A 24413-nucleotide genomic window follows, 5' to 3' on the forward strand; every position below is an offset into this window, starting at 1 on the left:
AGTGTTGAAATAAATATTATATATTGCAACACTGTTACAGGTGTCCTCCCTGACCAATTCTAACCCTCCAGCCTCTGAGGCTACCCCCCAGGACAACAAGACACATTAACACCCTCCAGCTGGATACTGCAGTGGTCCCTGCAGCTCTTGGGTTCATTCTTCTCATGTAGTACATCAAAATCTCACAAATGGGGTTGGGGGGTGAGAGAGATTTCAAATGTTTATCTTGACTAAACAGCAAAGGCAAATTCTAGAGTAAAAATCACACCACTACATTTTAGCTTTGTAATTGTGAACATCATGAAGGATATTTCTTAACTCTACACATCTCTGGATTACCCACCACACTCTAATACAGAGGTTCTCATCAGGGGCAATTCTGCCCCGTAGGGGACATTTAGTAATCTCTGAAGGTATGTGCTACTGGCATCTAGTAAGCAGAAGCCAAAGATGCTGCTAGGCGTCCTTCAACAAACAGGACAGCGCCCCCCACAACGAAGATATTATCTGGCCCACGTTATCAATAGTGCCAAGGCTGAGAAACCCTGTTCTAATGTAAAAGCTGTCCCATTCCTGCCCCACACCTTGGGAAAGTTCCAAGTTTTCACTGTTCCCAGTTCCTGACACTGCAAATGAGGACGCTTTGGCTTTTGTATCTAAAAACCTCATCTCCCTGGCTAAGCCATGTTCCTCCACCAATAAGAGTTCCATGTAGGCTGGGAGAGGTGGCTCATGCCTATAACCTCAGCAGGATCACTTGAGGCCAGGAATTCAAGACTGGCCTGCGCAACACAGTGAGACCCTATCTCTACACTAAAAAAAAAAAAAAAATTCCAAGTACCAAGCCACAGAATAAATATGCCCTCTTCTCCAATCACGATAACCCATTCTGAGTGCCCTAGTAACAAGCTTCCCTTGAACTCTGACTCGGACAAACTATATCATATACTGACTGAGGCTCAAAATATCCATCCTCTCCTTAACTACCTTCCCTAGTCAGGACTCCAAGTGAGGCAGAACAAAGATAATGAAAGAAGGAAGATTATACTAAGAGGGGGCTACTCAAAGAAAACTGTCACGTCCAGGCTGTTCAGAAGAATTCAAAGATGACTGTTCTCTGTCCTTATTTCTTCTACATTATGTCGGTTCCACAGCATCAGTTGGATATAAGTTCCACCATTATATCCCTAGCACCTAATTTAGTGCTAAGTATACAAAAGAACCAAAGGAAATATTTGTTGAGTCCATGGACTGAAGAAATGAATGAGTAAATCTACCTTTTCTGCCACTACCAGCTTACTTATCCAATGAAGGTCATGGGCTTTGCTCTTACTATTTTCAGAGAACAAAAAAAAAAAAAAAAAACTCAGCTTCATTCTTCACAGAGATAAAAATTTCAAGAGAGAAGAAAGGCCTCAAATCTTGACGTACTTAAATAGCCATTCCTTGAAGAAAATAAGGCCTGAAAATAGGGAAGTACTGATAATGTAAAAAGCCAATAAATTAGCTAGGCATGGTGGCATATGCCTGTAGTGCCAGGTTCTCCGGAGGCTGAGGTGGGAGGATTATTTGAGTCCAGGACCTGGAGGCTGCAGTGGGCTATGATCACACCACCGTTTTCAACCAAATAAAAAAATAAATAAACGTAAGCTCTGAATTAATAAAACATTCTACTTGGTTTAACTGAACACTTGAGGCATATAATAGGTTTTTATATATTTGTTAATTAAAGAAACTACAGGTTAAGTTTTCTGCCACATTTCCAGTCACTTTACTCTCAGAAGACCAGGAATGCCTCTGAAATTGCAGGACACTAAAAGCCACAGTCCAGAGGTTATATTAAGGTAATTTCCCTCTTTCAGCTCTGATTGTTTCTTAGAATTTCTTTTTTTTTTTTTTTTTTTTTGAGACAGTGTGGCTCTGTTGCCCAGGCTGGGGTGCAGTGGCACGATCTCTGCTCACTGCAACCTCCATCTCCCCGGTTCAAGCAATTCTCCTGCCTCAGCCTCCCAAGTAGCTGGGATTACAGGCGCCCACCATCACACCCGGCTAATTTTCATATTTTTAGTAGAGACAGGGTTTCACCATGTTGGTCAGGCTGGTCTTGAACTCCTGACTTCAGGTGATCCGCACGCCTCAGCCTCCCAAAGTGCTGCGACTGCAGGCTGAGCCACCGTGCCCAGCCAGAATTTAAACTCTAACAGTTAAGGACTCCACCCTTTCCACCCCCAAATATGAGCTAAGCAGGCAGGTTAAGGACCCCATTCATGAGGCAGGTTACAGAGTCCAACCTCAAAAGACTAAAAGTAGGAAGACCATCTATCTTTTAAAAACTTCTTGGCTCACGCCTGTAATCCCAGCACTTTGGGAGGCCGAGACGGGCGGATCATGAGGTCAGGAGATCGAGACCATCCTGGCTAACACGGTGAAACCCCGTCTCTACTAAAAATACAAAAATTAGCCGGGCATGGTGGCGCGCGCCTGTAGTCCCAGCTACACGGGAGGCTGAGGCAGGAGAATGGCGTGAACCCGGGAGGCGGAGCTTGCAGTGAGTCGAGATCGCGCCACTGCACTCCAGCCTGGGCGACACAGCGAAACTCCGTCTCAAAAAAAAAAAAAAAAAAAAAACAACAACAAAAAACTTCTTCCTTTCTTTGGTAAATTTTTGGCAAGATTACAGTATTTTAGTCTGCAAAATGCCCCCATAATAACTGTTCTCTTTAAAGAGGAGAAAAGACAAAACACTAAGCCAATGCTACTTTTACTGCTAGTGACAGTATCTTCAAAGTATCAGATATCTTCAAAGATGGGCTTTTTTGTTTTGCACAATTTTTTAAATTTCCAAATTAGGCAGACTGATAATAACAAGCTGGTGAAAAATAGTCCTACTGACCCACATGAGATAATACTGAGAAACTATTCATCTTGGGCTATATATAAGGCATATGAGGACACCAACATCCTAAGAAACAAACCAAGAAGGTTATTTACCCCAGGAATTATCTCAAATTTTATACTTGGCATTATTGCTGCTCTTGATACATCTTACACAAGGTCAAACATCATTATCAATGACTAACTTCTATACTGTTTCAGCAGTAAAAATAGCAGTTTGGTGCTTGACCTCTTCAGTGGTGACAAGAAAGGTCAACAGCAGGAAGACACTGTCAGTAACCCTAACAAGCTTTGCTTCTCTCCCAGTAATACTTGATTCCAGAGCCGCAAGACTACAAGATGAACCCTTCATTCTAGACTGGCTCTGGGGTCAGCCCATACAGCTCTCTTTACACCTCAGATTTTTTCTTTCATCGAGAAGCTTGAAATATTAAGAAATATATTTCTCTGACAGAAAAATGCACCCATTTTATAAGAAGGCCATGAAAGGTTTGCTTCATTCAGCTCCCAATTCAATCATGTATCAAATGAAATCACTATTTTCTCAAAATCAGCTTTTCTTTTAAAAGTCCAAAGACTCAAGAGTAGTTATCTCTCCTTTCTTTACTCTTTTAACCCCCAACAGGGAAAATCAACTTGCTGTTCTGTCAAGTGCCAATTCAGGTAAGCAAAGGCTGAAGAAAGGGGAACTTAAAATCAGCATCAAATCAACCCCATCAGACAGCAACTTAAAGGAACTAATCAGGGGCAAGAAAAAGGATGCTGACATCAGATGGACTTGTTTTTACTGTTTCCAGAATATCAAAAACCCCAACAGCCCCAGTGAGAAGAGCAATGATGCTGCTATCTTACTAGTGATGATGCCACTTTCACACAATCATAAGTGTCTATCTGCTCCCATACTGGATCTTTAATCTAGGGATCTTCATCTAGGTGGGAGGGGTTTTTGCCTGGAAAATAAATAGTGAAAAGATGATTTAAATGACAGGCTTACGTAGTTTTCAGAATAGTCCAAATAATCTGAAAATGTTATCTTTCAAGGCTTGGCCCTGTGGCTTATGCCTGTAACCCCAGCACTTTGGGAGGCTCAATTCGAGTTCGAGACCAGCCTGACCAACATGGTGAAACCCCTTCTCTACTAAAAATACAAAAATTAGCCAGGCATGGTGGCGCATGCCTGTAATTCCAGCTACTGGAGGGCTGAGGCAGGAGGATCGCTTGAACCTGGGAGGCGAGGGTTGCAGTGAGTCCAGATGGTGCCACCGTACTCCAGCCTGGGCAACAGAGCGAGACTCCATCTCAAAAAAAAAAAAAAAGAAAAAGAAAAAAACAAAACTTTATCTTTCAAAATCTAAAATCCTGTGGTCCTGGGGTCATAGGCCGGGCATGGTGGCTCATGCCTGTAATCTCAGTACTTTGGGAGGCTAAGGCAGGCAGGTCACTTGAGCCCAGGAGTTCAAGACCAGCCTGTGCAAACTGGCAAAACCCCACCTCTACAAAAATTACAAAAAATTAGCTGGATGTGGTGGTGCGTGTCTGTGGTCCCAGCTACTCAGGGGGCTGAGGTGGGAGGATCACTTGAGCCAAAGAGGTCGGGGCTGCAGTGAGCTATGATGGCGCCACTGCACTCCAGCCTGGGCATCGGAGTGAGACCCTGTCTCAAAAAAAAAAAAAAAGAAAGAAAGAAAGAGAAAAGAAAAGAGAGAGAGAAGAGAAAAAAAAGAAAAGAAGAGAAGACCAGGCATGGTGGCTCACACCTGTAATCCCTGCACTTTGGGAGGCCGAGGTGGGTAGATCACCTGAGGTCAGGAATTCGAGACCAGCCTGGCCAACATGATGAAACGCCGTCTCTACTAAAAATAAAATAATTAGCTGGATGCGGTGGCGGGCTCCTGTAATCCCAGCTACTCGGGAGGCTGAGACAGGCAACTCGCTTGAACCCGGGAGGCAGAGGTTGCAGTGAGACAAGATCACACCACTCCAGCCTGGGCGACAAAAGCAAAACTCCGTCTCAAAAAAAAAAAAAAAAAAAAAAGACAGAAAGAAAAAAAAAGAAAAGAAAAAGAAAAGAAAGAAAAATAAAATTCTGTGGCCAACTGTTGCCCCTAACCAAATCCAGTGTGCCACAAAATGCCTGGGGACATAGCACACAGTCCATCACTATATGTTACAGGAGAAATATCCTGGGATTATCAAGTGAAAAGAAAGAAAAAAAAAATCTGGGCACGACTTTGCAGGGAACAGAGGAAAAGCTTACCAATCTCCAAGAAGAATAAGAGGGGAGACGTTCTTTTATGGATTAAAGAGTAAGTCATATGATAACAAACTGTACTATTCTAATTAGTTGATTCTGCAGAAGGTAGTATCTCCAGCACCCCTTAGTCAAATAACAAGCTTCCCACAGGGGCTGCCCTTAGGCTAGAATCACCACCAAGGACTGAGTTCACCAATCTCAGTCTGTTAATCAGTCCCTACCCCCGACACACAAATCCATCTAATAGTTAAATCTTCCTCACCCCTTCCTCTTCGTCCATTTCTTAGAATCTACCCTTCTTCACAAGCTCACTTGCTCAGGTGCTCTGCAATATAGAAACTGTCATAATAACTATACTAAAGTAGGACCCCAAGAAGCTACTCGTGCCACAAAAGCTCTCTAGTCTCCCTGACAGCTCTCTATGCTGAGGGAATTTGCATCACTTACATAGAGCGTACCCCGCTGGTAGATAACTGAGTTTGCTTCTCTATGACCTCTAGCTAAAGGGAAAACAAAACGAAACCAGACAGGAAGACAGAGATGTTCTGGAGAAGGGATTGGGATACGTGAGTCAACTGAAGTTGACTACTTCCAGTTGACAAGTTTACAAAAAAAAAAAAAGTCCAACGAAAGGTCTCTCGGGCCACATGGTTGGCAAGATCCAAGCTTGCCCAGAAGGCTTCAGAAAATGAAACCAAATCTGATTAAAATGGACATTTCAAAACAACAAGACACGCAGCAGCAAACGCACAGCTGCCATTTCCCGGCCACTTCCTGCGGGAGGCTGGGGGAGGGGCTGTTTGTGTACAGATAGAGGTGGAAAGCTATCCCCTCCGTCGTCCCCCAAAGCAGACAAATCTCTCACTCCAATTAACCCTACAAAGGACAACTGCTATTGACATTGCCTTCTCCTGAAAACTGGGAACACCGGGAAAGAAAGGGATGATGCGGTATCATCTTTCTGCCACGGAAGCGGGGATCCCCTCAGTGAGGAATCTCCTTGGAAAAAGGAATTCCTCTTTATTCTTCCCTTCTGCCCCTCAGCCCAGCTCAAATTGGAAAGCCTCAGCGGAAGCCCTATCAACCTCCATCCCCGGAGTGCGCGATTCTCCCGGGACGCGAGGGCCCCAAGCCAAGCGCAGCACCACCCTCAGCAAGGAAGGCCCTCTCCTGATCTTCACGCTCAAGAGAATGGGTGCGCTCCCCGAGGGAGACACCCTCAGACCCCTGGAAACCCCTTCCGCCCTCCACTCACCACAGTCAAAACGCCCAGCTCCCCGCAAACGGAGCGTTTTAACCCGCCAAGGGAACCCCCTCACCCACCCCTCGCGCTCAGGCAATCCCCACCCCCACCCGAGGAGGTGGAGCCCCTCCCGGGGATTCCACCCCAAGTCCCCCACAGGAGTCATCTCCACCAGCCAGGCGGCTTCTCCGCCTCCTCACTGTCGCCGGGAGCCCCTACAGCTCCTCCTGCCCCCGCGGCCCCGTCCGGGGTCCTCAGCAGCCCCACCAGCCCTGTTCTCCTCCCAGACCCCAGAGCAAGGAGACCCTCGCCTCGGGTTGGATCCTCGCAGGAAATAAGCTCCCGTCGGCTTCCCGCCCCGGCAAGGCTCAAGCCGGCTCTGGAGCTTCTGTTCCCCGAGGGAAGCCTCGGATGAAAGCGGGGCTCCCTCCCCCTCAGGCCCCTGGCCACAGACCCCACAAACCTGAGGCAGCGGCGTCCAGCCGGGCTCGGGGCTCGTCTCTCCCCGGGGTACAAGCGGTTCACATGGCCGCGCTCCGGGCGCCAGAACGGGTGGAGACGCCCGCTGGGGAGGGGGTCTGGGGTCCGGGGTTCGGGAAGGGGGAGGGGGACGCGGCTCAACCGCGGGGCCCGAGAGGAGCCAACATGGCCGGCGGGGGAGGAGTGAGTCGGAGCCGGAGGGGGCGGAGAAGCCTCGGCCGGGAGAGAGTCTCCCCACGCGGCCTCCGCCACAGGGTCCTAAAGCCCGCCAGCCCATCTTTCCGACCCGGACCTGGGTCCTAGCGCCGCTGTGCCTCCTGCAACTCTGGCCACCTTGCCCACCTGGCAGCTCCCTCTGCACCCGCATCTCATGGAGGCAGTGGTCCTGCTTCACACAGGGCAAACTGAAAGGCATGCCACAGTCCCAAGGTTAACTTAAAAGACTAGACCAAACGTCTAGGCCCAAAGGCAGGTGCCACTTCTCTAACAGGCTGGTAGGGGTAAGAGTCAGGGGAATTTCGGGGGCAGTTATTTCCCAGGTAGGGTAATGGAAACGTGGAAATAGAAAGGTTAGTCACTCAGGTCGCGATTCAGTAAAGGGATGGGGAGAGGCAAGAGTCAGCCACCCACTCACCTCTGTCCCTTCAGTGCAGCCTGGTCCTGCCTGGATCACCACTTTCCTGGCGACATCTGCAGGGCCCTGGTCACCGGAAAGGAAAGATTCCTGTGCGTGGGGGAAAGAAGGTTCGGCTCTGGAACCAGACAGCAAAGACCTGAGTGTAGCCTAAATGCAGTCAGAGAAGTAAAGGATAAGCTGAAAACTAATCAGCAAAAAGATGCCACAAATGTCCACCCATTCTATGGTTCTGGGAATTTTTTTCTGACAGGGCTACATAACTGTGTGAAAACTCAGAAAAGTAAAATCTAGCAGAGGACTAGAGTTTGGCTGTCACCTAAAATGTCCACTGCAGGGCACCAGGATGAAGAACAGTGTCATATGATGTTAGAGCTTAGAGAATTTCTAGTTCAGGCCGGACGCGGTGGCTCACGGCTGTAATCCCAGCACTTTGGGAGGCCGAGGCAGGTGGATCATGATGTCAGGAGTTCAAGACCAGCCTGACCAACATGATGAAACCCGGTCTCTACTAAAAATACAAAAATTAGCTGGGTGTGGTGGCGTGCCCCTGTAATCTCAGCTACTCAGGAGGCCGAGGCAAGAGAATCGCTTGAACCTGGGAGGTGGAGGTTGCAGTGAACTGAGATCGCGCCATTGCACTCCAGCCTGGGTGACAGAGGGAGACTCTATCTCAAAAAAAAAAAAAAAAAAAAATTCTAGTTCAACCTTCTCTCCTTCATCAAATGAAGAAATTAAGACCCAAAGAGGTTCAATGACTTCTTCAATGTCAAACAGTGGATAAAATATGACAAGAAAGGAAACCAGGTTTCCTTTCCTTGCAACTCAACACTTTGCAGCCTTGAAGATAATTCCCATTTAATTCAATGCAATGCAGTTCTAGAAACAGTTGCCTAAACTGTGCAAAGCTCAGGCTGCTGAATATTCTGGAAAAGCAACAGAGTGGGGATGATGAAACTCTGGCAAGTTGGGGTGTCAACAAATACGTTTTCCTCTGGGGGTCTGAGGAGGAAAGAGATCTGAAAAATGGGCAGAGTTGGGGGGTGAGATCCATCAGTCTACATTGGATTTCCTTACTCCACAGAGGGGTGGGCTCTTCCTGAATTTTGGGGAAAGACTCCACCCCTCCACCCCCCCACTACAAATGGCTCAGAGAGGATAAGAAGGAAGCTAGCTTTAGCAAAGGCTCACAGAGTGTGTGGGCCACAGACACAGAAGGCTAAGGGGGTTTCTCTTCCTCTCTCGAGATAAGTAGATTACCAGTGGAGGGAATAGGCAGGTGGAAACCAAAACCCTTCTCTCCTCCCTGTCAAAACAACAGATTTACAGGTCACCTTGGGGAAAAAAAAATACTCCTCCAACAGCCTGCTGACCTCAAGTCCCTGAGTAAGTAGAGGTCACACTCAGGGTAGAGGTTTCCTTCCTTCTGGAGAAAGGAGGGCTCTGGCAAACTTCTGCTAAGAAATGCCTCTCTATCCCCAAATAAAAAATTAAGGCAGGTGAAGAAAGGCATAAAACTGAGGCCTCAAGGGCGGCGGGATGGGGGTGTGGGTAAGGAAGCTGGTATCCTTTTGTCTTCCCTGCCCTTTTCCAGAGCAGATGAGGGAGAATCTTCCTACCTCCTGCTCCCAATCTTAAAGGGGGCCAGTCGGGGACTGGGCAGGCAGGGGAGGAGCCTGCGCCCGTCAGACGGGTGTAGCCACGCCCCTCCCCACACCCACACACACCCACCACTGGCTCCACTCTGCTCCGGAAGAGCCGGTTACTCCTGTGCCCCACTGACCGCCCCCACCCCTTCCGAGCCCCAGGCCTAGTCTCCAGGGCAACCTTTAGGACTATTCCAGCCAGGAGCGGTTAGGAAGAGGGGTGTTGGATAGGAGAGGACCACTTGGGATTAGAAAAGAAAATGAGGTAGGATCCATTCTTCCCATCTGGTGCAGAAAGACTACAATCATCCTCATTCCTGAATGAGACCCCACCTCATCTCATCTAATCAGGATCTTCCTTGCTCTGAGGAAGGATGAGGTTGGGGTGACAGTGTGCCCAACAGCTGGATGTTTACTTCTTGCTAGAAGTCACCCCATGCTGCAGCTGTGCTTCTCCCCCCATCCAGACGAGAGAGGGCAGACTGACCCCAAATGTCCCGAAACACTCCTCAATCCCATCAGATGTGGCTGATCACCCACCCACCTCTCTTTTCCCCACCCATTTCCCTTCAGGAAGCTACTAGAAAGGGGAAGGGGCAAATGGTCATTTTATCAGCAACTTGTAAGGAGAGTCTCCAGGGAATAGGCTGAACCTCCCTCAAGCCAGGCCAGTGGACTAGTCATGAAGAGAATGGGGAGGGACAAATTAGCACCTGCACCCCCTTTCTCACCCTCCCTGTGTTCCTGCAGCACCTCCCTGACTCTGGGGTCAGCTGCCACAGTGCCTGGCTCCACTCTGTAGCCAGATGGCTAGGGCTGGGAGGAGGAAGAGAGAGAAGGGGATTCGTTTGCATCCCTCTACATCCTTCCCTCTCCCCCACCAGATACTCCTGGCATCCAACCCCAAACACCACTGCTGAACACCCTCTCCTCCCCCCAGCACCCCCTCCAAACATGACTTAGAAGAGTCTGAAGCAGATCTTGGCAGCCAGTCCCCTAATTCTGGAAGTGAGGAGTGGGAAATGAAAGAGCATAGCTAGGGGCGCAGCTGGACTGGGGGTGGAGGGGGAATTCTCTAATGGAGGTGGGATAATTATTAAAGACCTGCCTTCCCCTCACTGGCTGAATGGATCATACTGTTAACAGGATCTGTCTAGCAGGGAGATGGCTCTTAGCCGGGTAACCATTCCAACTAGACCCCCCCACCAGGTTAAAGCAAAAGTCTTCACCCCCTCTACAATCTGGGAAGGCTAGATTCTCCCATAACACATCACAAGGAAAACACCCCTCCCCTTCTTCCCCCACTTTTGTTTGTTTGTTTGTTTTGTTTTGTTTTGAGACAGTCTTGCTCTGTCACCCAGGCCAGAATGCAGTGTTGTGATCTCAGCTCGCTGCAACCTACGCCTGCCAGGTTCCAGCCTGCCAGGTTCAAGCGATAGTAGCTGGGATTACAGGCACACGCCACCACGACTGGCTAATTTTTGTATATTTTGTAGAGACAAGGTTTTGCCATGTTGCCCAAGCTGGTTTCGAACTCCTGACCTCAAGTGATCTGCCCACCTTGGCCTCCCAAAGTACTGGGATTACAGGCGAGCACACTCCACCCGGCCCCCTTCTCCCCTTTAAGTCGACAGGTGGCTCCTCAGATTCACACAGACTTGTTTCCAAACTTCCCAATGGGATTCTCTATGGTGGTCCTGGAAGTTAGAGAAAGCCCCTATTTCCTAGGGAGTCGGGGGGCTTCCTTTGCATCTGAACAGAGAAGACTGGACTTCTCTTGCCTTCCCCATCGCCCCAACTCCCTTAGAGATTTAGCCCCAGCTCCCCACGCACTCTCTCCCAACTGTCCCTGAGGCCCTGAAGCACAAGATTCCGGCAGCGCCCTGGCCCCCAGCTCCCAGGTTCTGGGGGAGGGGCCTTCCTAGGCTGCACCGACCAACCCTAGGCCCAGGAGGAGAGTCCTTCCCACCTGGGCTCAGTAGGCGGTGCTGAGGTTGGACCCCAAGCTCCCGGAGATGTAGGGTGGGGTGAGGACTACAGAAAAGGTTTAGATGGGACTTAGCTGAACTTAAAGGGCTGAGCGGAGCAGGGACAGATAGTGCTGTCGATGTTGCTCCCCCGCCCCCCTTACTACGGGGAAGGAGAGGAGTTGGGGTGGGTATCCCCCCTCCCATTGGGGTTAGGAAGGCGTGGGAAAGCGCTAGTTCAGAGGGGAGGAGGCGAAACCCAGACCGCGGGAGATTTTTCTGGCGAAGAAGGCGCGGGGGAGGGGGAGATCCTGGGCCCAGAATAGGAAAGGTACTCGGGAGACGATGGCGGAGAGGCGTGAGAAGCCTCCGGATTCCGGTCGCGGAGGACAGGGGGAAAATGGGCGAGTAGATAGTTCAGGGGAGAGAGGAAGGGCAGCTCCCTCAGGGGGAGAGTCAGATCCCGAATCCCGGGGCAGCAGGGATCCCGGGGCAGGATACCGCAGGAACGGCCCGCCAAGGGACTCCGGAGCTGGAGGTGGGTGCCGGGCCTCACCTGGAGCAGGGCCGGGCCGCAGGCGGCGGCGGCGGCGGCAGAGGCGCAGGTGGCCGAGCCGGGCGGCGGCTGCGCCTCCTCCCCCAGCCCTGGGCCGGCGGCGGCGGAGGGGAGGAGGTGGTGCTTAAAGGGGCAGGAACTACCGAGGTGAGGACAACCGCTCAGGAGAGCAGTCGCGAAGGATCCACTGGGGGAGAGGATAGCGGGTGGCGTCTCCTAGGGGCCAGAACCAGGAAGGATCCCAGATGGGAGGAAGAGAACGGATCCCAGAAAGAGACAGAAACTTCTGCGGTGAAGTGGGGGATGGTGGTAGGTCCGAAAGGAAGGACTTGGGAGAGCTCTGCCCGCGCTCCCAGGGCACCAGCAAAGACCGCTTCACAAAAGAGGCCGGGGAAGGCAGAAAGAGCTACATGGGCTCCTAGGAGGCCTAGGGGTGCAGGAGAGGGAACTCAAGGCCGAGCCTGCTGGGGGTCACGCGCAGCGCCCTACTAGGTGAACTGGTTCCCCGTGTTTCAGCTCCTCAGGGCTCCATCCCTACGGCTGTGGGGCCTTTGGAATCAGGAAGCCACGAAGGCAAAAACCTCCTATCCTCTCAACCTCAATCCTGCGTCCCACTCAGTGCCCTCAGTGACTGTAGTGTGGGGGCCATCAATAGCAGCCCTGGTGAGGCTGATGTGGGACCATGAGAATCGACTTTGGTTCAGTTTTCCCCCAACCACCACCACCCTTGCTTCAGTCTCTGGGGCAACAGGAAGCAGCTGCTCAGTGCAGCCCCCACCTGAAGGTGGGTCAAGGTGGGGGAGGAGAGAAGACAGACTTAAAAGGCCTTAGAAAAATGAGAGGGAGGGGAGGCATTTTAAAGACCTTCCAGCACTGCCAAAAGCCGGCTTTACTTTTGTGGGGGCTAGCAGTGAGTACTGTCAAAATTTCCTTGAATCTCAACAGCTTAAATGGGGAGGAGCAGGGGCAATCCTCCACGGGGCGGCGGGGAGGGGGCTGGGAAAGCCCTGGCCTAAGATGCGTCTCAGGCTCTTCCTTAGAACTGGGGCTTGCCCATACTCAGGATCCCGTGGTCGGCAGCCTCGCTAGCTGAGCCCTGTGCCCCCCGTCCCCCAGAGTCCTGTTTCCTCTCCTTCAGCCCCCAAATGAGCAAAGGTTAGGCCCCACCCCTGCTGAGTCAGCCAGGGAGGGAGTAGGCATCCCTCAGGCCTTCCCCGGGGCTGGTCCCCATACTCACCCATGTCAGGCTGGCACAGCTCCAGGCTGGGACCACCCAGCTCCTCACTGTCCTTGGGCCTCCACTTCACGTAAAGGTTGGTGTTGGATCCTCCCAAACTGTGAGCTGGGAACTAGCAAGAATCAAAAAGCCAGTGTATGCTTCCTGCGAACCACACAGCCTGAACTGCTGTAGGGTGATGTCCCTGTGTGACAGACTGGGGTGGGGAGGGAGGAGGGAAGGGCGGGGCTTTCTCTGGGTGGAGAGAGGGAGGAGGCGAGGACAGGGCAGACCAGGAGAAATATGGAGGAAGGTTAGAGAGCTGTGTTGACACTCCAGTGGCATGGTAGAAGAGGCCGGCAAAGGGGGAAGGAAACAAATAGTTGCAGCTACTGAGAGGGAGAAGGTTCTCGATAAACGCTGAAGGACGTGAACATGTTGGGGGAAGGGGTGGAGGGATGCAAAAGACCTTTAGGATTTCAGTTCCCAGGTCTGTATCGGGTGACGTGAGAAAACAAAGCAGAAAGGGCTGACCTGTACCCTAGGGCTTTTTCTACCAGCTTCTTACCCACTCCAGAGTCAGGACCTAGAGGAAGTGTCCACACCCCCATAACTCAGCATTTCCCCAAATCCCAGCTTTTCTGGGAGCAAACTACCAGCACAAGCAGCTCAGGGGCTCCACCTTCTGTCCAGATCATGACACAGGAGAGACTGCGGGAGAGGCTGCTGCCAAGGACGTCACAGGCAGATGGAAGGAAGCTTAGAGGCCCCTACTCCACCCCTGGCCCCGCGCCAAAAAGCCCTCCCCAACCTTCAGCCCCCAGGGGCCTCTGAATTGGAGCTCAGCTTGTCCCCGCCCAGCTTCTACCTAACTTGATGGACTCAGCGGGTGGAGCTTATAGATACAGGCTCCTCCCCAGGACAAAAGCCCCAGCTGGTCTGTAAACAGTCTTTAACTGAGAGCCACATCCCAGCAAATGGCCTTCATGGATTTGAAAATGGGATCAGAGTTCTTGCAGAGTCTCCAGTGCTACCGCGAGAGGGCAGTCGGATGGGTCTGGTCCCGGAAAAGAACACAAGAGGAACCCAATCTGACCTTGCACGCTTCTTTTAAATTGAAATGGTAAAATATATCTTCTACCCCTGCACCTCTCAGTCGGCTAAAATGAAGGGAAAATAACCTAACTTCATTAGTTTAGAAGCCCAAGCCAGCAACTCTGAAAATTGCTATTCCCTTGTAAGATTATCTTTTCTGGACTTTCATAAGGGGATCTTCACAGAGGGTGGACTAGGCCTTATGGTATTATATGCCTCTGCATAGCCTCAAGGAATCACAAGCAACTTTTATTTAGGCTTGCCCAAAATGTCAGGAAGTAGTTAAGTACACTTTCTGAAGACATGAAGGCCTAACCAAGATGTAGAGAACCCTTTTGATTCCATTTTAACAAAGATCAGTATTCTTCATCACTATTTCTTGAAAATTTAATTCATTAAACTCAGATTAACCCCTGGAAATAAGTTATTTCTAAAACGAGTTTTTCCCAATATGCCCTTCAAAAAAGTCCTATTTTTAACCAAGAAGTAGGGATGTGCCACATGGAATAGAGGCCAAAAAAAAAAAAAAATCAATTTGTATTGAACAAAAGGCCCAAAACTGAGGCCCTACTAAGATCACACTACCCACAGGAAACCCCTCACAAGAGGTACGGTTGTCCATCAACAAAAGAGAATGGCTATTTTTAAGGACCAATTTCAAACATACATGGCCCACTTCATGCTGAAACTGCTTCTTATAGCCACTCTAAAAATCTAATTGTTGAAAACAGTGCTGGTGATGTGAGACTACATACACCTGTAGCCCCAGCTACTCAGGAGACTGAGGTGGGAGATCTCGAGCCCAGGAGTTAGAGACCAGTCTTGGCAACACAGCCAGACACCGTGTCTCTAAAACTAAAATTAAATACATAACCCTTCAGTGTTGACTATGTTGTCAGAACCAAGAGAATCAGACAAATTCTGAGGGGTGTACATTTTATTGGAAACCTTAAATACTGTTCAGAAAGAATATATCTTCAATCAAGGCTCTTGTGCAGCCTACACAGAAAAATGAAGCTTTTTGGGTTAGGGGCAAGGAGAGAGACAGTACAGAGGACAAAGACCCCTCACGATGAATGCTCTTCAGCCAGCTTATCAGCTTTTGCCACAGCTTCTTCAATGGGTCCCACCATATAGAAGGCCTGTTCTGGGAGATGGTCATATTCACCTGTATGATGGGGGAGAAAAAAAAAAAGAGTAAGAAGCGGAGGGATATCAACTTTCTGCATCATGTAACATTCCTCACCACTTCAGGCCATCAGTTAGAATGTGATGAATTCATGTCATCTTAGAAAGCTTAAATTTCCCTCACAAATCAAATTTACAAGATATGATACAGTATGAATTAAGAACACATGGGCCAGGCACGGTGGCTTACACCTGTAATCCCAGCACTTTGGGAGGCCAAGGCAGGCGGATCACCTAAGGTCAGGAGTTCGAGACAAGCCCAGCCAACATGGTGAAACCCCATGGCTACTAAAAATACAAAAATTAGCCAGGCGTGGTGGCGTGTGCCTGTAATCCCAGCTACTTGGATGGTTGAGGCTGGAGAATCACTTGAACCCGGCAGGTGGAGGTTGCAGTGAGCCAAGATTGCACCAGTGTACTCCAGCCTGGGCGACAGAGACTCAGTCTCAAAAAATACATATAAAATAAAAGGGAGCTAGAGAATCAAGTAACAAATCACACTCAAATTAAATGTAGAGTATTTTCAAACAAAATCAATGGGTAAGTTTGTTTTTTAAATTAAAAAATATAATTAAGCATAGTATATTACATATATTGCTTGACGGTTGTTGGAATGGGACCACAGCACAGTAAACATTCAAGATTTGTACTCAAAATCTCACCTGCCAAAATCTGCTGGAATCCTTTGATGGTCTCCTTCAGGGGTACCAGCTTCCCCATATGACCTGTGAAGACCTCAGCAACCTGGAATGGCTGAGACAAGAAACGCTGTATTTTCCGTGCACGGGACACGGTCAACTTGTCTTCCTCAGAAAGTTCATCCATACCCAGGATGGCAATGATATCCTGGAGGGATTTGTAGTCCTATGAGAAAAAAGAAGACTGAGTTAAGTATTCTCATTCCTTTAATTTGGACAAGCTAACAAAGGGAAAGTTACATGCTAGGGGGCAGAGAAGGTGGTGGTGTTATGAGGGCCCTCAGCCAAGAAAGATCAGTGTCTTGTTCTCCATAGTCCTAGTTTGGTGCTGTTAGAAAAATATTGCATTCCGCCGGGCGCAGTGGCTCACGTCTGTAATCCCACCACTTTGGGAGGCCACGGTGGGTGGATCATGAGGTCAGGAGATCGAGACCAGCCTGACCAACTGATGAAACCTGGTCTCTACTAAAAATACAAAAAGTAGCCAGGCATGGTGGCGCGCACCTGTAATCCCAGGTACTCAGGAGGCTGAGGCAGGAGAATCGCTTGAACCTGGGAGGCGGAGGTTGCAGTGAGCCGAGATGGCACCACTGCACTCCAGCTTGGGAGACACAGTGAGACTCATCTCAAAAAAAAAAAAAAAGAAAGAAAAATATTGCATTCCAAAGCGTTAAGTACCTGGAAACTCAAGAGACCTCATTAGCTCTCACTAGCAATTGCCAGCCTCAACTTTCCTTGCTCCAAAACAAATCACTAAGAAAGATCCAGTCCTCATATAGTCCCCACAGGCCCTCTTTTTGACTTTCCGGACACTGATCCCACATAGTAATATACTCACCTGCAGGATCTTTTGCACCCCACGGGCAACATCGTAATGCTCACTGCCAACAATGTTGGGATCCATGATACGAGAGGTGGAGTCTAGAGGATCCACAGCTGGATAGATGCCCAGCTCAGCAATGGCACGCGACAGTACAGTGGTAGCATCCAAATGGGCAAACGTAGTAGCAGGGGCAGGGTCAGTCAAGTCATCAGCAGGCACATAGATAGCCTAAAGTGAGATCCCATGAAGAACAGGAACCAAAGTAAATTTTTTTTTTTTTTTTTGAGAGGGTCTCGCTCTGTCGCCCAGGCTGGAGTGCAGTGGTGCAATCTCGGCTCACTGCAACCTCTGCCTCCTGGATTCAAGCAATTCTCTGTCTCAGCTTCCCGAGTGGCTAGGACTACAGGTGCCCATCACCACACCCGGCTAATTTTTTTGTATTTTTAGTAGAGACGGGGTTTCACTATCTTGGCCAGGCTGGTCTTGAACTCCTGACCTCGTGATCCACCCGCCTTGGCCTCCCAAAGTGTTGGGATTATAGGCGTGAGCCACCACGCCCAGCGAACCAAAGTAATTTTACTTAAGCCATCCCCCTTTCTGACCTATCTTTATCATCTCACTCCATATTCTTAGCACTCAAAAGACCCTTCTTACCACCCCTAATACCTGCTGAATAAGCTGACAGATTATCTGGTCTCTCAGCCATGATGGAAGAATTTTTAGTATCATTCTTTTTGTTCTTCATCTTTTATTTTAACTATTTTAATGCCCACTTTTAGAATTAAAAACAAGAGGCTGGGGGCCAGGCACGGTGGCTCATGCCTATAATCCCAGCACTTTGGGAGGCCAAGGAGGGCAGATCACGAGGTCAGGAGTTCGACACCAGTAGAGACGGGGGTCTCTACTAAAAAAAAAAAAAAAAACGGAAACAAAAATTAGCCAGGCATGGTGATGCATGCCTGTAATCCCAGCTATGCAGGAGGCTGAAGCAGGTGAATCGCTTGAACCCAGGAGGTGGAGGTTATAGTGAGCCAAGACTGTGCTACCACACTGTAGCCTAGGCAACAGACTCCGTCTCAAAAAAATAAAAATTAAAAAAAATAAAAAAATAAAAAAGAGGCTGGGCACAGTGGCTCAAGCCTATAATCCCAACACTTTGGGAGGCTGAGTCAGGCAGATCACCTGAGGTCAGGAGTTCAAGACCAGCCTGACTAACATGGTGAAACCCCGTCTCTACTAAAAATACAAAAATTAACCGGGCCTGGTGTCGGGCACCTATAATCCCAGCTACTCAGGAGGCTGAGACAAAGGAATCACCTGAACCCAGGAGGAGGTTGCAGTGAGCCCAGATCGCACCCATTGCACTCCAGCCTGGGCAATAAGAGTGAAACTCCGTCTCAAAAAAAAAAAAAAAAGAATTAAAAACAAGAACAAAAAACTTCTTGCACAATAGTTCATTACACTGAATCATGAAAAGTTCCTACAGTTTAGCCACATTTTTACTATATGTAAAATTTATGTAATTTTACTATATATCCCATCTATATATATTTGAAAATGTATAGTACATTAATGCAGTAAATTTTTTTTTTTTGTAGACGGATTATCACTCTGCCGCCCAGGCTGGAGTGAGTGGCCCAATCTCAGCTCACCACAACCTCCTGCAACCTCCGCCTCCCAGGTTCAAGCAATTCTCCTGCCTCAGCCTCCCGAGTAGCTGGAACTACAGACAGGTGCCACCACGCCCAGCTAATTTTTTGTATTTTTAGTAGAGATGGGGTTTCACTGTGTTAAGTCAGGATGGTCTTGATCTCCTGACCTCATGATCCGCCTGCCTTGGCCTCCCAAAGTGCTGGGATTACAGGCGTGAGCCACCGTGCCCGGCCCCAAAGTGCTGGAATTACAAGTGTGAGCCACTGCACTCAGCCCTAATACAGTAAATATTTAATGCTCAGTTTCCATATAGCGCCGGACTCCCCTCAGACTAGAAACCATTGCTTTGTGATCTACATTTAAATGTATACCTTCATTTATTTTTTTTTAATTTTTTGAGGCAGAGTCTGACTCTGTCACCCAGGCTGGAGTGCAGTGCCCCAATCTTGGCTCATTGCAACCTCTGCCTCCCGGATTCAAGCGATTCTCCTGCCTCAGCCTCTGAGTAGTTGGGATTACAGGCGCCTGCCACAACGCCCAGCTAATTTTTTGTATCTTTAGTAGAGACGGGATTTCACCACGTTGGCCAGGGTGGTGTCTTAACTCCTGACCTCATGATCCGCGTACCTCAGCCTCCCAAAGTGTTGGTATTACAGGCATGAACCACCACGCCTGGCCCAGTCAGTTTTATACATCTCTCTACATACATACAGCTTTGTTCCCCAGGCTGATCTCTTGGGCTCAAGCAATCTTCCTGCCTCAGCCTCCTCAGTAGCTGAGATGCACCACTGCACCCTGCCTTTATACAAATCAGATCTTCATCTATGTAATTTTTCTTACCTGTACAGAGGTGATAGATCCCTTCTTGGTAGTGGTAATTCTTTCCTGCATAGTACCCATGTCAGTGGCCAGGGTAGGCTGATAGCCCACAGCAGAAGGGATTCGGCCCAATAATGCAGACACCTAAAAGAAAAAAAGGTCTTAGGTGTCTACATCCTTAGCCTCATCCGAAGAAAGGCCAGATGAACCAGGTCCTCTCAAGCCTTCCCTCTTACCTCTGAACCAGCCTGGGTGAAGCGAAAGATGTTATCAATAAATAGCAGTACATCTTGACCTTCTTGGTCTCTGAAGTATTCAGCCACAGTCAGCCCAGTCAGAGCTACCCGGGCACGAGCACCAGGTGGTTCATTCATTTGACCATATACCAGCGCTACCTGCAGTAATCATACATAATCGTAAAACCTGACAAAGGAGTAGAGAAGCCACATACTGAAGGTTCCCAAATCGGAGAAACGACCACAGATCCTTTCTCAGAAGGTGTCAGCGTTTTTGTGTGCAAGTTTCTTTTCCCTATTAGAGATGCAGTTCAAAAAAAAAAGACAGCTTCTTATATTAGTAAGGCAAAACTATAGTAGAAAGGAAATAAAAACCTATTCAAGTTAAGTGAAAAGTACAAAATAGGCTTAACTGAAACATATGTACCACGTCCAATCCAGCCCTCCCAAAATTAGCTTTCAAATGATGGGACTATCTACCAAAAAGAAAACCTGGAAATGTTATTTAATGTCAGTATCAAAGAGGAAAGAAAATGTCCATTTGTGTATTGGAAGTTGGGGGGGAAAACACTAACAGGTTTCCTTTGTAGGCCCTGGGACACGAAAATGAAAATATTAACATTTTCTTAAAAAGAAAAAAAAATTAAATAGAAAATATAGAACATGGCTTCAGTTGGCAATAGTTTCCTGGCGTAACTACCACGTGGACATCAATTAGCTCAATGCTTACCTTAGAGGTGGCATCTTTTAAGTTGATAACACCAGATTCAATCATTTCATGGTATAAATCATTGCCTTCACGGGTCCTCTCACCAACACCAGCAAACACAGAGTAACCACCATGGGCTTTGGCGACATTGTTGATTAACTCCATGATCAGTACAGTCTTGCCAACTCCAGCACCACCAAAAAGCCCTATAAGAGGTTGAAAAGAAAGAATATTTAAGAGTTCTGCTTTCCTAAATAAGCAAACTTCAAAAAAAGTAATTGCTTCCTTCCATCCTATTCCTTCTCAGAAATTGCATCTGGCTTCAGCAAACTCAGAAGAACGAAAGTCAGAACGTACTCATCAGTGAGGAATAGATGTCAATATCCACTCATAACATTGTATGAGTTTTTCCTCCCATATTAGGTTTGGAAAATATGTACCCCTTAATAACATACCAATTTTGCCACCCTTGGCATAGGGAGCTAGCAGATCGACAACCTTGATACCAGTCACCAGAATTTCCTGCTCAACACTCATTTCCATGAACTCTGGAGCCTCAGCATGAATGGGAGCAAATCTGTAAAGGTAGAAGAGAGGATAGTATCTATTCACCTTGTTGAAAGCAAATGATAATCTTATATATCCCTCCCTATCAACTCTCAAGTCCATCCCTTTACCTGAGGAACCACAGTCTTACCTCCCCTTTCTTACATAAATCAGATAAACTATCATCTAGGATCTAACCCAACTTTCTGCAATAAAGAAAATTATTATCTTAGGAAACAATAATCCCATTCCCTGACTTTAACTGTCATAAATTTTTCATTTTACTGAGCCTTAACCTAACAGCATTCCCTCACATAGCAATAGCAAATACAAAAACCTACAAGTTTTGGAGACTCCTAAACCTAAGCCATAAGACCGAGTCTTAAAAATACTCAACTAGCCAGGCGCAGTGGCTCATGCCTGTTATCCCAGCACTTTGGGGGGCCGAGGTGGGGGGGGAATCACCCAAAATCAGGAGTTCGAGACCAGCCTGGCCAACATGGTGAAACCCCATCTGTACTAAAAATACAAAAATTAGCCGGGCATGATGGCATGCACCTGTAATCCCAGCTACTCAGGAGGCTGAGACAGGAGAATCACTTGAACCCAGGAGGTGGAGGTTGCAGTGAGTCGAGAGCGAAACTCCCTCTCAAAAAAAAAAACCTCAAGTAGTAGGCTTTTGTCAATCAGAAATTCTGCATCCTAATTTCTTCAGGTGAAACTGCACTGTGTGATTTTAATAATCGAACGTATCAGAAGAAAAATTCTGCTTTAGGAGAACATGTCACCTTAATGTGTAAAACTGCAAATAACAGAAGTTCCTTTGTGCATAGATGCAATAAGAGCAACTTACTGTTTGGTTTTGATGGGACCTCTTTCATCAATAGGTTCTCCAATGACATTCATGATTCTGCCCAAAGTCTCAGGACCAACAGGAATTTTGATTGGTGCACCAGAATCCAGTACTTTCTGGCCTCTAACCAAGCCTTCTGTACCATCCATAGCAATAGTCCTTACTGTGCTCTCACCTGTTAGATACAGGCATCGCAGGGTTATACATAAGGATAAATTGGTATCAAGACCTAAATCGACCAAGACTCCTTCTCAGTACCTAAATGTGGCTTCAGCAAACTCAGAAGAACGAAAGTCATTTTGATAAAATCATCATAGAAGGCAGACAGCTTGGTTTTGGGGATATTTGGGCTACACAAGGTCTTTACTATTCCTAACAAACTCTACTTACCCAAATGCTGGGCCACCTCCAAAACCAGTCTGGTCTCCCTGCCTTGCACTTCCAGGGCATTTAGAATTGGTGGTAGTCCCTCATCAAACTGGACGTCCACCACTGCGCCAATGACCGCCACGATGCGCCCGGTGGCGGCGCCTGCTTTTGGCGAAGGAGATGTTTGCGCCGCATAGTCCCTGACTAACAGACAAAAGATATTGGAAGGAGCTGGGGTCAGGCCAGTTAAAGGTCATCGGAAGCCAGGACTTAACACACAAGGAGAGGAAAACTCAGCCGAAGTCAGGCCTCTTTCCGCTTGTACGGAACGCGTGTCCAAGAGGGAAGGCCGCGCAGCGATCGATAAAGCGCCTGCACAGCCTTCCCATCCGCATGCACAAGACCCCATTTTTCGAGAGTTCAGTACCCCTATTCAACCGGAAGGTCAACGCACCTGCCCGCACCTTTTCCGTCACACAAAGGACTTTATACAAAATGGGACAGAGCTGGGTCGAAGAAACCTCCTATGGGTGTCCCATTCTTGTTCTCCAGCCATTAGAGAGCAAGACGCGGCTCCAGGCATCCTTTTAACACCACGGATCCCTTAGGCCCGAGCTACCATCGTTCCCCGGCTCAAGGTCATGGGGCGGCAAAATGGAACGTTAGCTCCTAGAGAAAAGCACTTACCAGGATGGACCGCCGTCGGAGCGGCCCGCAGTAAGAGCTGAGCTGGGGGCAGCGACGCTGAAGGGGTGAGTCTCCGCAAGGCCCCGGAGGCCGGAGCAGCGGCCACCCGACCCACAAACCCCAACATGGCGTAGTCCGGGTGGAGACTGAAGGCTGCAGCAACCGCAGCCGCCTGCTCTCCTGCCGTTGAGGCGAGGCCTACGCTGCAGTAGGCAGGTCCATTGGGTGAACTGGCTGCTCATCATTCTCTGTGCTGCTTCTACAGGTTAATACACGCTGATCTTCTCATCCATTGGTCAAAACTGGTGCTAATCTGAAACTCCTTTTTTTATTGGACAGTGTGAGGTTAGAGGGCGTCACTCTGAGCCTCAAAACTTAATTGGATCATAGCGACGTCCGTTGGACAGGGTAATCAGAGGAACTACGTTTAGGAAAGGGGCCGAGTTCCTGTTGAAAGTGCGTGGCCTGTCTTTGCCTGTCCTTGGGCTTTCTCCTTAGATAGGTCCTTGATCTAGGTGACAGCCATAGGGGCGGTGGTTAGGGAAGTGGTAGTGCGGTGAAGCACCACTGAAGGTGAGCGTGGCGAAGTCAGGAGCCCTCTTTAGAGCCAAAATAAGGTTTTTCTCTCGAAGTAGTGAGATTGCAAGCTCCCAGGCGATTGCACAGATTAGCAACCTAGACAGGATCTTTATCATTTAAACCTATTAAAATGAAATAAACTAATGTAACCAGTACTTTAGCAGGGCATTGAGGAGACTCAATAATAAGATAAATAAGACTAAGAACCTTCCTTTTAAGGTCCAGGTGAACAAACAATGCAATAATGTGATGGTTCCTGGTTAGCATAAACTGGGTGCACGAAAGACGAGGGGATAAAATTGGGTCACCTAGAGATACAGAATTGTCCACCTTGAAGGAAGCTGAGAGACCTCAGCTATGAAATGTGAATAGAAATTCTTAGGGTAGGCTGGGAGCGGTGGCTCACGCCTGTAATCCCAGTACTTTCGGAGGCCGAGGCAGGTGGATCACCTGAGGTCAGGAGTTCGAGACCAGCCTAGCTAACATGGTGAAACCCCGTCTCTACTAAAAATACAAAAATTAGCTGGGCGCGGTGGCTCACGCCTGTAATCCCAGCACTATGGGAGGCCAAGGCGGGCGGATCACGAGGTCAGGAGATCGAGACCATCCTGACTAACACAGTGAAACCCGGTCTCTACTAACAATACAAAAAATTAGCCGGGCGTGGTGGCGGGCGCCTGTAGTCCCAGCTACTTGGGAGGCTGAGGCAGGAGAATGGCGTAAATCCGAGAGGCGGAGCTTGCAGTGAGCCGAGATAGCGCCACTGCACTCCAGCTTGGGCGACAGAGTGAGACTCTCTAAAAAAATAAAATAAATATATAAAATAAAATAGGCTGGGCACGGTGGCTCACGCCTGTAATCCCAGCACTCTGGGAGGCCGAGGTGGGCAGATCATGAGGTCAAGCGATCTAGACCATCCTGGCCAACATGGTGAAACCCCGTCTCTACTAAAAATACAAAAATTAGCTGGGCGTGGTGGCGGGCGCCTGTAGTCCCAGCTACTCAGGAGGCTGAGGCAGGAGAATGGCGTGAACCTGGAAGGCGGAGGTTTCAATGAGCTGAGATCGTGCCACTGCACTCCAGCCTGGTGACAGAGCGAGACTCCGTCTCAAAAATAATAATAAAAAATAAATAAATAAATAAATAATAAAATAAGTAAAAAGGGCTGGGCTGGGCACGGCCAGCCCAGTAATCCCAACACTTTGGGAAGCCGAGGTGGGTGGATAACTTGAGCCCAGGAGTTCAATACCAGCCTGGGCAACGTGGT

At 48.6% G+C, this 24413-nt stretch overlaps 2 protein-coding genes and 2 non-coding genes across 40 annotated transcripts in view, besides 17 other annotated features; all 4 read right to left on the minus strand.

Moving 5' to 3' along the window:
- The window catches only part of BAZ2A (bromodomain adjacent to zinc finger domain 2A), a 42723-nt gene extending 27674 nt beyond the window's left edge, over window positions 1-15049 (minus strand). For 7 of the 37 annotated variants that reach the window (XM_047428155.1, XM_047428151.1, XM_047428145.1 and 4 more), the window contains exons 1-2: window positions 13548-13606; window positions 12913-13024 (exon numbers count right to left, since the gene is read on the minus strand). In XM_047428155.1, the coding sequence (XP_047284111.1) occupies window positions 12913-13024; window positions 13548-13589 (154 nt within the window). In that variant the 5' untranslated portion in view covers window positions 13590-13606. Of the gene's footprint in view, window positions 1-3747; window positions 3846-5411; window positions 5475-6404; window positions 6503-6855; window positions 7058-7506; window positions 7657-11675; window positions 11727-12912; window positions 13091-13459 lie in introns of those variants that run through there. The other 30 variants (XM_047428169.1, XM_047428168.1, XM_047428167.1 and 27 more) reach the window with 15 other exon arrangements.
- Window positions 3934-4435: an enhancer, noted in NCBI's record as "H3K4me1 hESC enhancer chr12:57020987-57021488 (GRCh37/hg19 assembly coordinates)". NCBI's record gives its function as "activates a minimal SCP1, AML or CMV promoter by ChIP-STARR-seq in naive H9 embryonic stem cells {active_cell/tissue: H9 hESC(naive)}" and the evidence as "EXISTENCE:reporter gene assay evidence [ECO:0000049][PMID:30033119]".
- Window positions 6644-6993: a silencer, noted in NCBI's record as "silent region_4561". NCBI's record gives its function as "represses an Ori minimal core promoter by ATAC-STARR-seq in GM12878 lymphoblastoid cells {active_cell/tissue: GM12878}" and the evidence as "EXISTENCE:reporter gene assay evidence [ECO:0000049][PMID:35858748]".
- Window positions 7214-7263: an enhancer, noted in NCBI's record as "active region_6504". NCBI's record gives its function as "activates an Ori minimal core promoter by ATAC-STARR-seq in GM12878 lymphoblastoid cells {active_cell/tissue: GM12878}" and the evidence as "EXISTENCE:reporter gene assay evidence [ECO:0000049][PMID:35858748]".
- Window positions 7294-7363: an enhancer, noted in NCBI's record as "active region_6505". NCBI's record gives its function as "activates an Ori minimal core promoter by ATAC-STARR-seq in GM12878 lymphoblastoid cells {active_cell/tissue: GM12878}" and the evidence as "EXISTENCE:reporter gene assay evidence [ECO:0000049][PMID:35858748]".
- Window positions 9913-9962: an enhancer, noted in NCBI's record as "active region_6506". NCBI's record gives its function as "activates an Ori minimal core promoter by ATAC-STARR-seq in GM12878 lymphoblastoid cells {active_cell/tissue: GM12878}" and the evidence as "EXISTENCE:reporter gene assay evidence [ECO:0000049][PMID:35858748]".
- Window positions 11189-11238: an enhancer, noted in NCBI's record as "active region_6507". NCBI's record gives its function as "activates an Ori minimal core promoter by ATAC-STARR-seq in GM12878 lymphoblastoid cells {active_cell/tissue: GM12878}" and the evidence as "EXISTENCE:reporter gene assay evidence [ECO:0000049][PMID:35858748]".
- Window positions 11589-11818: a silencer, noted in NCBI's record as "silent region_4562". NCBI's record gives its function as "represses an Ori minimal core promoter by ATAC-STARR-seq in GM12878 lymphoblastoid cells {active_cell/tissue: GM12878}" and the evidence as "EXISTENCE:reporter gene assay evidence [ECO:0000049][PMID:35858748]".
- Window positions 11869-12188: an enhancer, noted in NCBI's record as "active region_6508". NCBI's record gives its function as "activates an Ori minimal core promoter by ATAC-STARR-seq in GM12878 lymphoblastoid cells {active_cell/tissue: GM12878}" and the evidence as "EXISTENCE:reporter gene assay evidence [ECO:0000049][PMID:35858748]".
- Window positions 11869-12585: a biological region, named in NCBI's record as "H3K4me1 hESC enhancer GRCh37_chr12:57029126-57029638".
- Window positions 12073-12585: an enhancer, noted in NCBI's record as "H3K4me1 hESC enhancer chr12:57029126-57029638 (GRCh37/hg19 assembly coordinates)". NCBI's record gives its function as "activates a minimal SCP1, AML or CMV promoter by ChIP-STARR-seq in primed H9 embryonic stem cells {active_cell/tissue: H9 hESC(primed)}" and the evidence as "EXISTENCE:reporter gene assay evidence [ECO:0000049][PMID:30033119]".
- Window positions 13469-13638: an enhancer, noted in NCBI's record as "active region_6509". NCBI's record gives its function as "activates an Ori minimal core promoter by ATAC-STARR-seq in GM12878 lymphoblastoid cells {active_cell/tissue: GM12878}" and the evidence as "EXISTENCE:reporter gene assay evidence [ECO:0000049][PMID:35858748]".
- Window positions 13612-14123: an enhancer, noted in NCBI's record as "NANOG-H3K27ac hESC enhancer chr12:57030665-57031176 (GRCh37/hg19 assembly coordinates)". NCBI's record gives its function as "activates a minimal SCP1, AML or CMV promoter by ChIP-STARR-seq in primed H9 embryonic stem cells {active_cell/tissue: H9 hESC(primed)}" and the evidence as "EXISTENCE:reporter gene assay evidence [ECO:0000049][PMID:30033119]".
- Window positions 13616-13910: an enhancer, noted in NCBI's record as "tiled region #9353; HepG2 Activating DNase unmatched - State 5:Enh, and K562 Activating DNase unmatched - State 25:Art". NCBI's record gives its function as "activates a minimal TATA promoter and a strong SV40 promoter by Sharpr-MPRA in HepG2 and K562 cells {active_cell/tissue: HepG2 | K562}" and the evidence as "EXISTENCE:reporter gene assay evidence [ECO:0000049][PMID:27701403]".
- Window positions 14906-22715, minus strand: ATP5F1B (ATP synthase F1 subunit beta). Its single transcript, NM_001686.4, has 10 exons — window positions 22568-22715; window positions 21902-22084; window positions 21512-21686; window positions 20568-20689; window positions 20134-20318; window positions 19404-19562; window positions 19189-19311; window positions 16711-16923; window positions 15837-16038; window positions 14906-15154 (listed from the first exon to the last, which is right to left on the minus strand). The coding sequence occupies exons 1-10, from the start codon at window positions 22692-22694 to the stop codon at window positions 15054-15056; spliced, it is 1590 nt and encodes a 529-aa protein (NP_001677.2). The 5' UTR covers window positions 22695-22715; the 3' UTR covers window positions 14906-15053.
- On the minus strand, window positions 20411-20485 carry SNORD59B (small nucleolar RNA, C/D box 59B). The gene has a single exon (NR_003046.1). It is a non-coding gene; the product is annotated as a small nucleolar RNA, C/D box 59B (small nucleolar RNA).
- Window positions 21758-21832, minus strand: SNORD59A (small nucleolar RNA, C/D box 59A). The gene has a single exon (NR_002737.1). It is a non-coding gene; the product is annotated as a small nucleolar RNA, C/D box 59A (small nucleolar RNA).
- Window positions 21813-22523: an enhancer, noted in NCBI's record as "NANOG-H3K27ac-H3K4me1 hESC enhancer chr12:57038866-57039576 (GRCh37/hg19 assembly coordinates)". NCBI's record gives its function as "activates a minimal SCP1, AML or CMV promoter by ChIP-STARR-seq in naive H9 embryonic stem cells {active_cell/tissue: H9 hESC(naive)}" and the evidence as "EXISTENCE:reporter gene assay evidence [ECO:0000049][PMID:30033119]".
- Window positions 22473-22802: an enhancer, noted in NCBI's record as "active region_6510". NCBI's record gives its function as "activates an Ori minimal core promoter by ATAC-STARR-seq in GM12878 lymphoblastoid cells {active_cell/tissue: GM12878}" and the evidence as "EXISTENCE:reporter gene assay evidence [ECO:0000049][PMID:35858748]".
- Window positions 22473-23232: a biological region, named in NCBI's record as "OCT4-NANOG-H3K27ac-H3K4me1 hESC enhancer GRCh37_chr12:57039577-57040285".
- Window positions 22524-23232: an enhancer, noted in NCBI's record as "OCT4-NANOG-H3K27ac-H3K4me1 hESC enhancer chr12:57039577-57040285 (GRCh37/hg19 assembly coordinates)". NCBI's record gives its function as "activates a minimal SCP1, AML or CMV promoter by ChIP-STARR-seq in naive and primed H9 embryonic stem cells {active_cell/tissue: H9 hESC(naive and primed)}" and the evidence as "EXISTENCE:reporter gene assay evidence [ECO:0000049][PMID:30033119]".

Source organism: Homo sapiens, chromosome 12 (assembly GCF_000001405.40).
Source record: "Homo sapiens chromosome 12, GRCh38.p14 Primary Assembly".
Lineage (NCBI taxonomy): Eukaryota > Metazoa > Chordata > Mammalia > Primates > Hominidae > Homo > Homo sapiens.

What these genes read in the sequence shown, in the direction of transcription:
- ATP5F1B (NM_001686.4), bottom strand. Translation starts at nt 22,694, where the DNA reads ATGTTGGGGTTTGTGGGTCGGGTGGCCGCTGCTCCGGCCTCCGGGGCC. An exon ending in TCCGACGGCGGTCCATCCTG is followed by an intron (nt 22,085 to 22,567) that starts GTAAGTGCTTTT and finishes TTTGTCTGTTAG; the next exon opens with TCAGGGACTATGCGGCGCAA. An exon ending in TCACCCAGGCTGGTTCAGAG is followed by an intron (nt 19,312 to 19,403) that starts GTAAGAGGGAAG and finishes TTTTTCTTTTAG; the next exon opens with GTGTCTGCATTATTGGGCCG.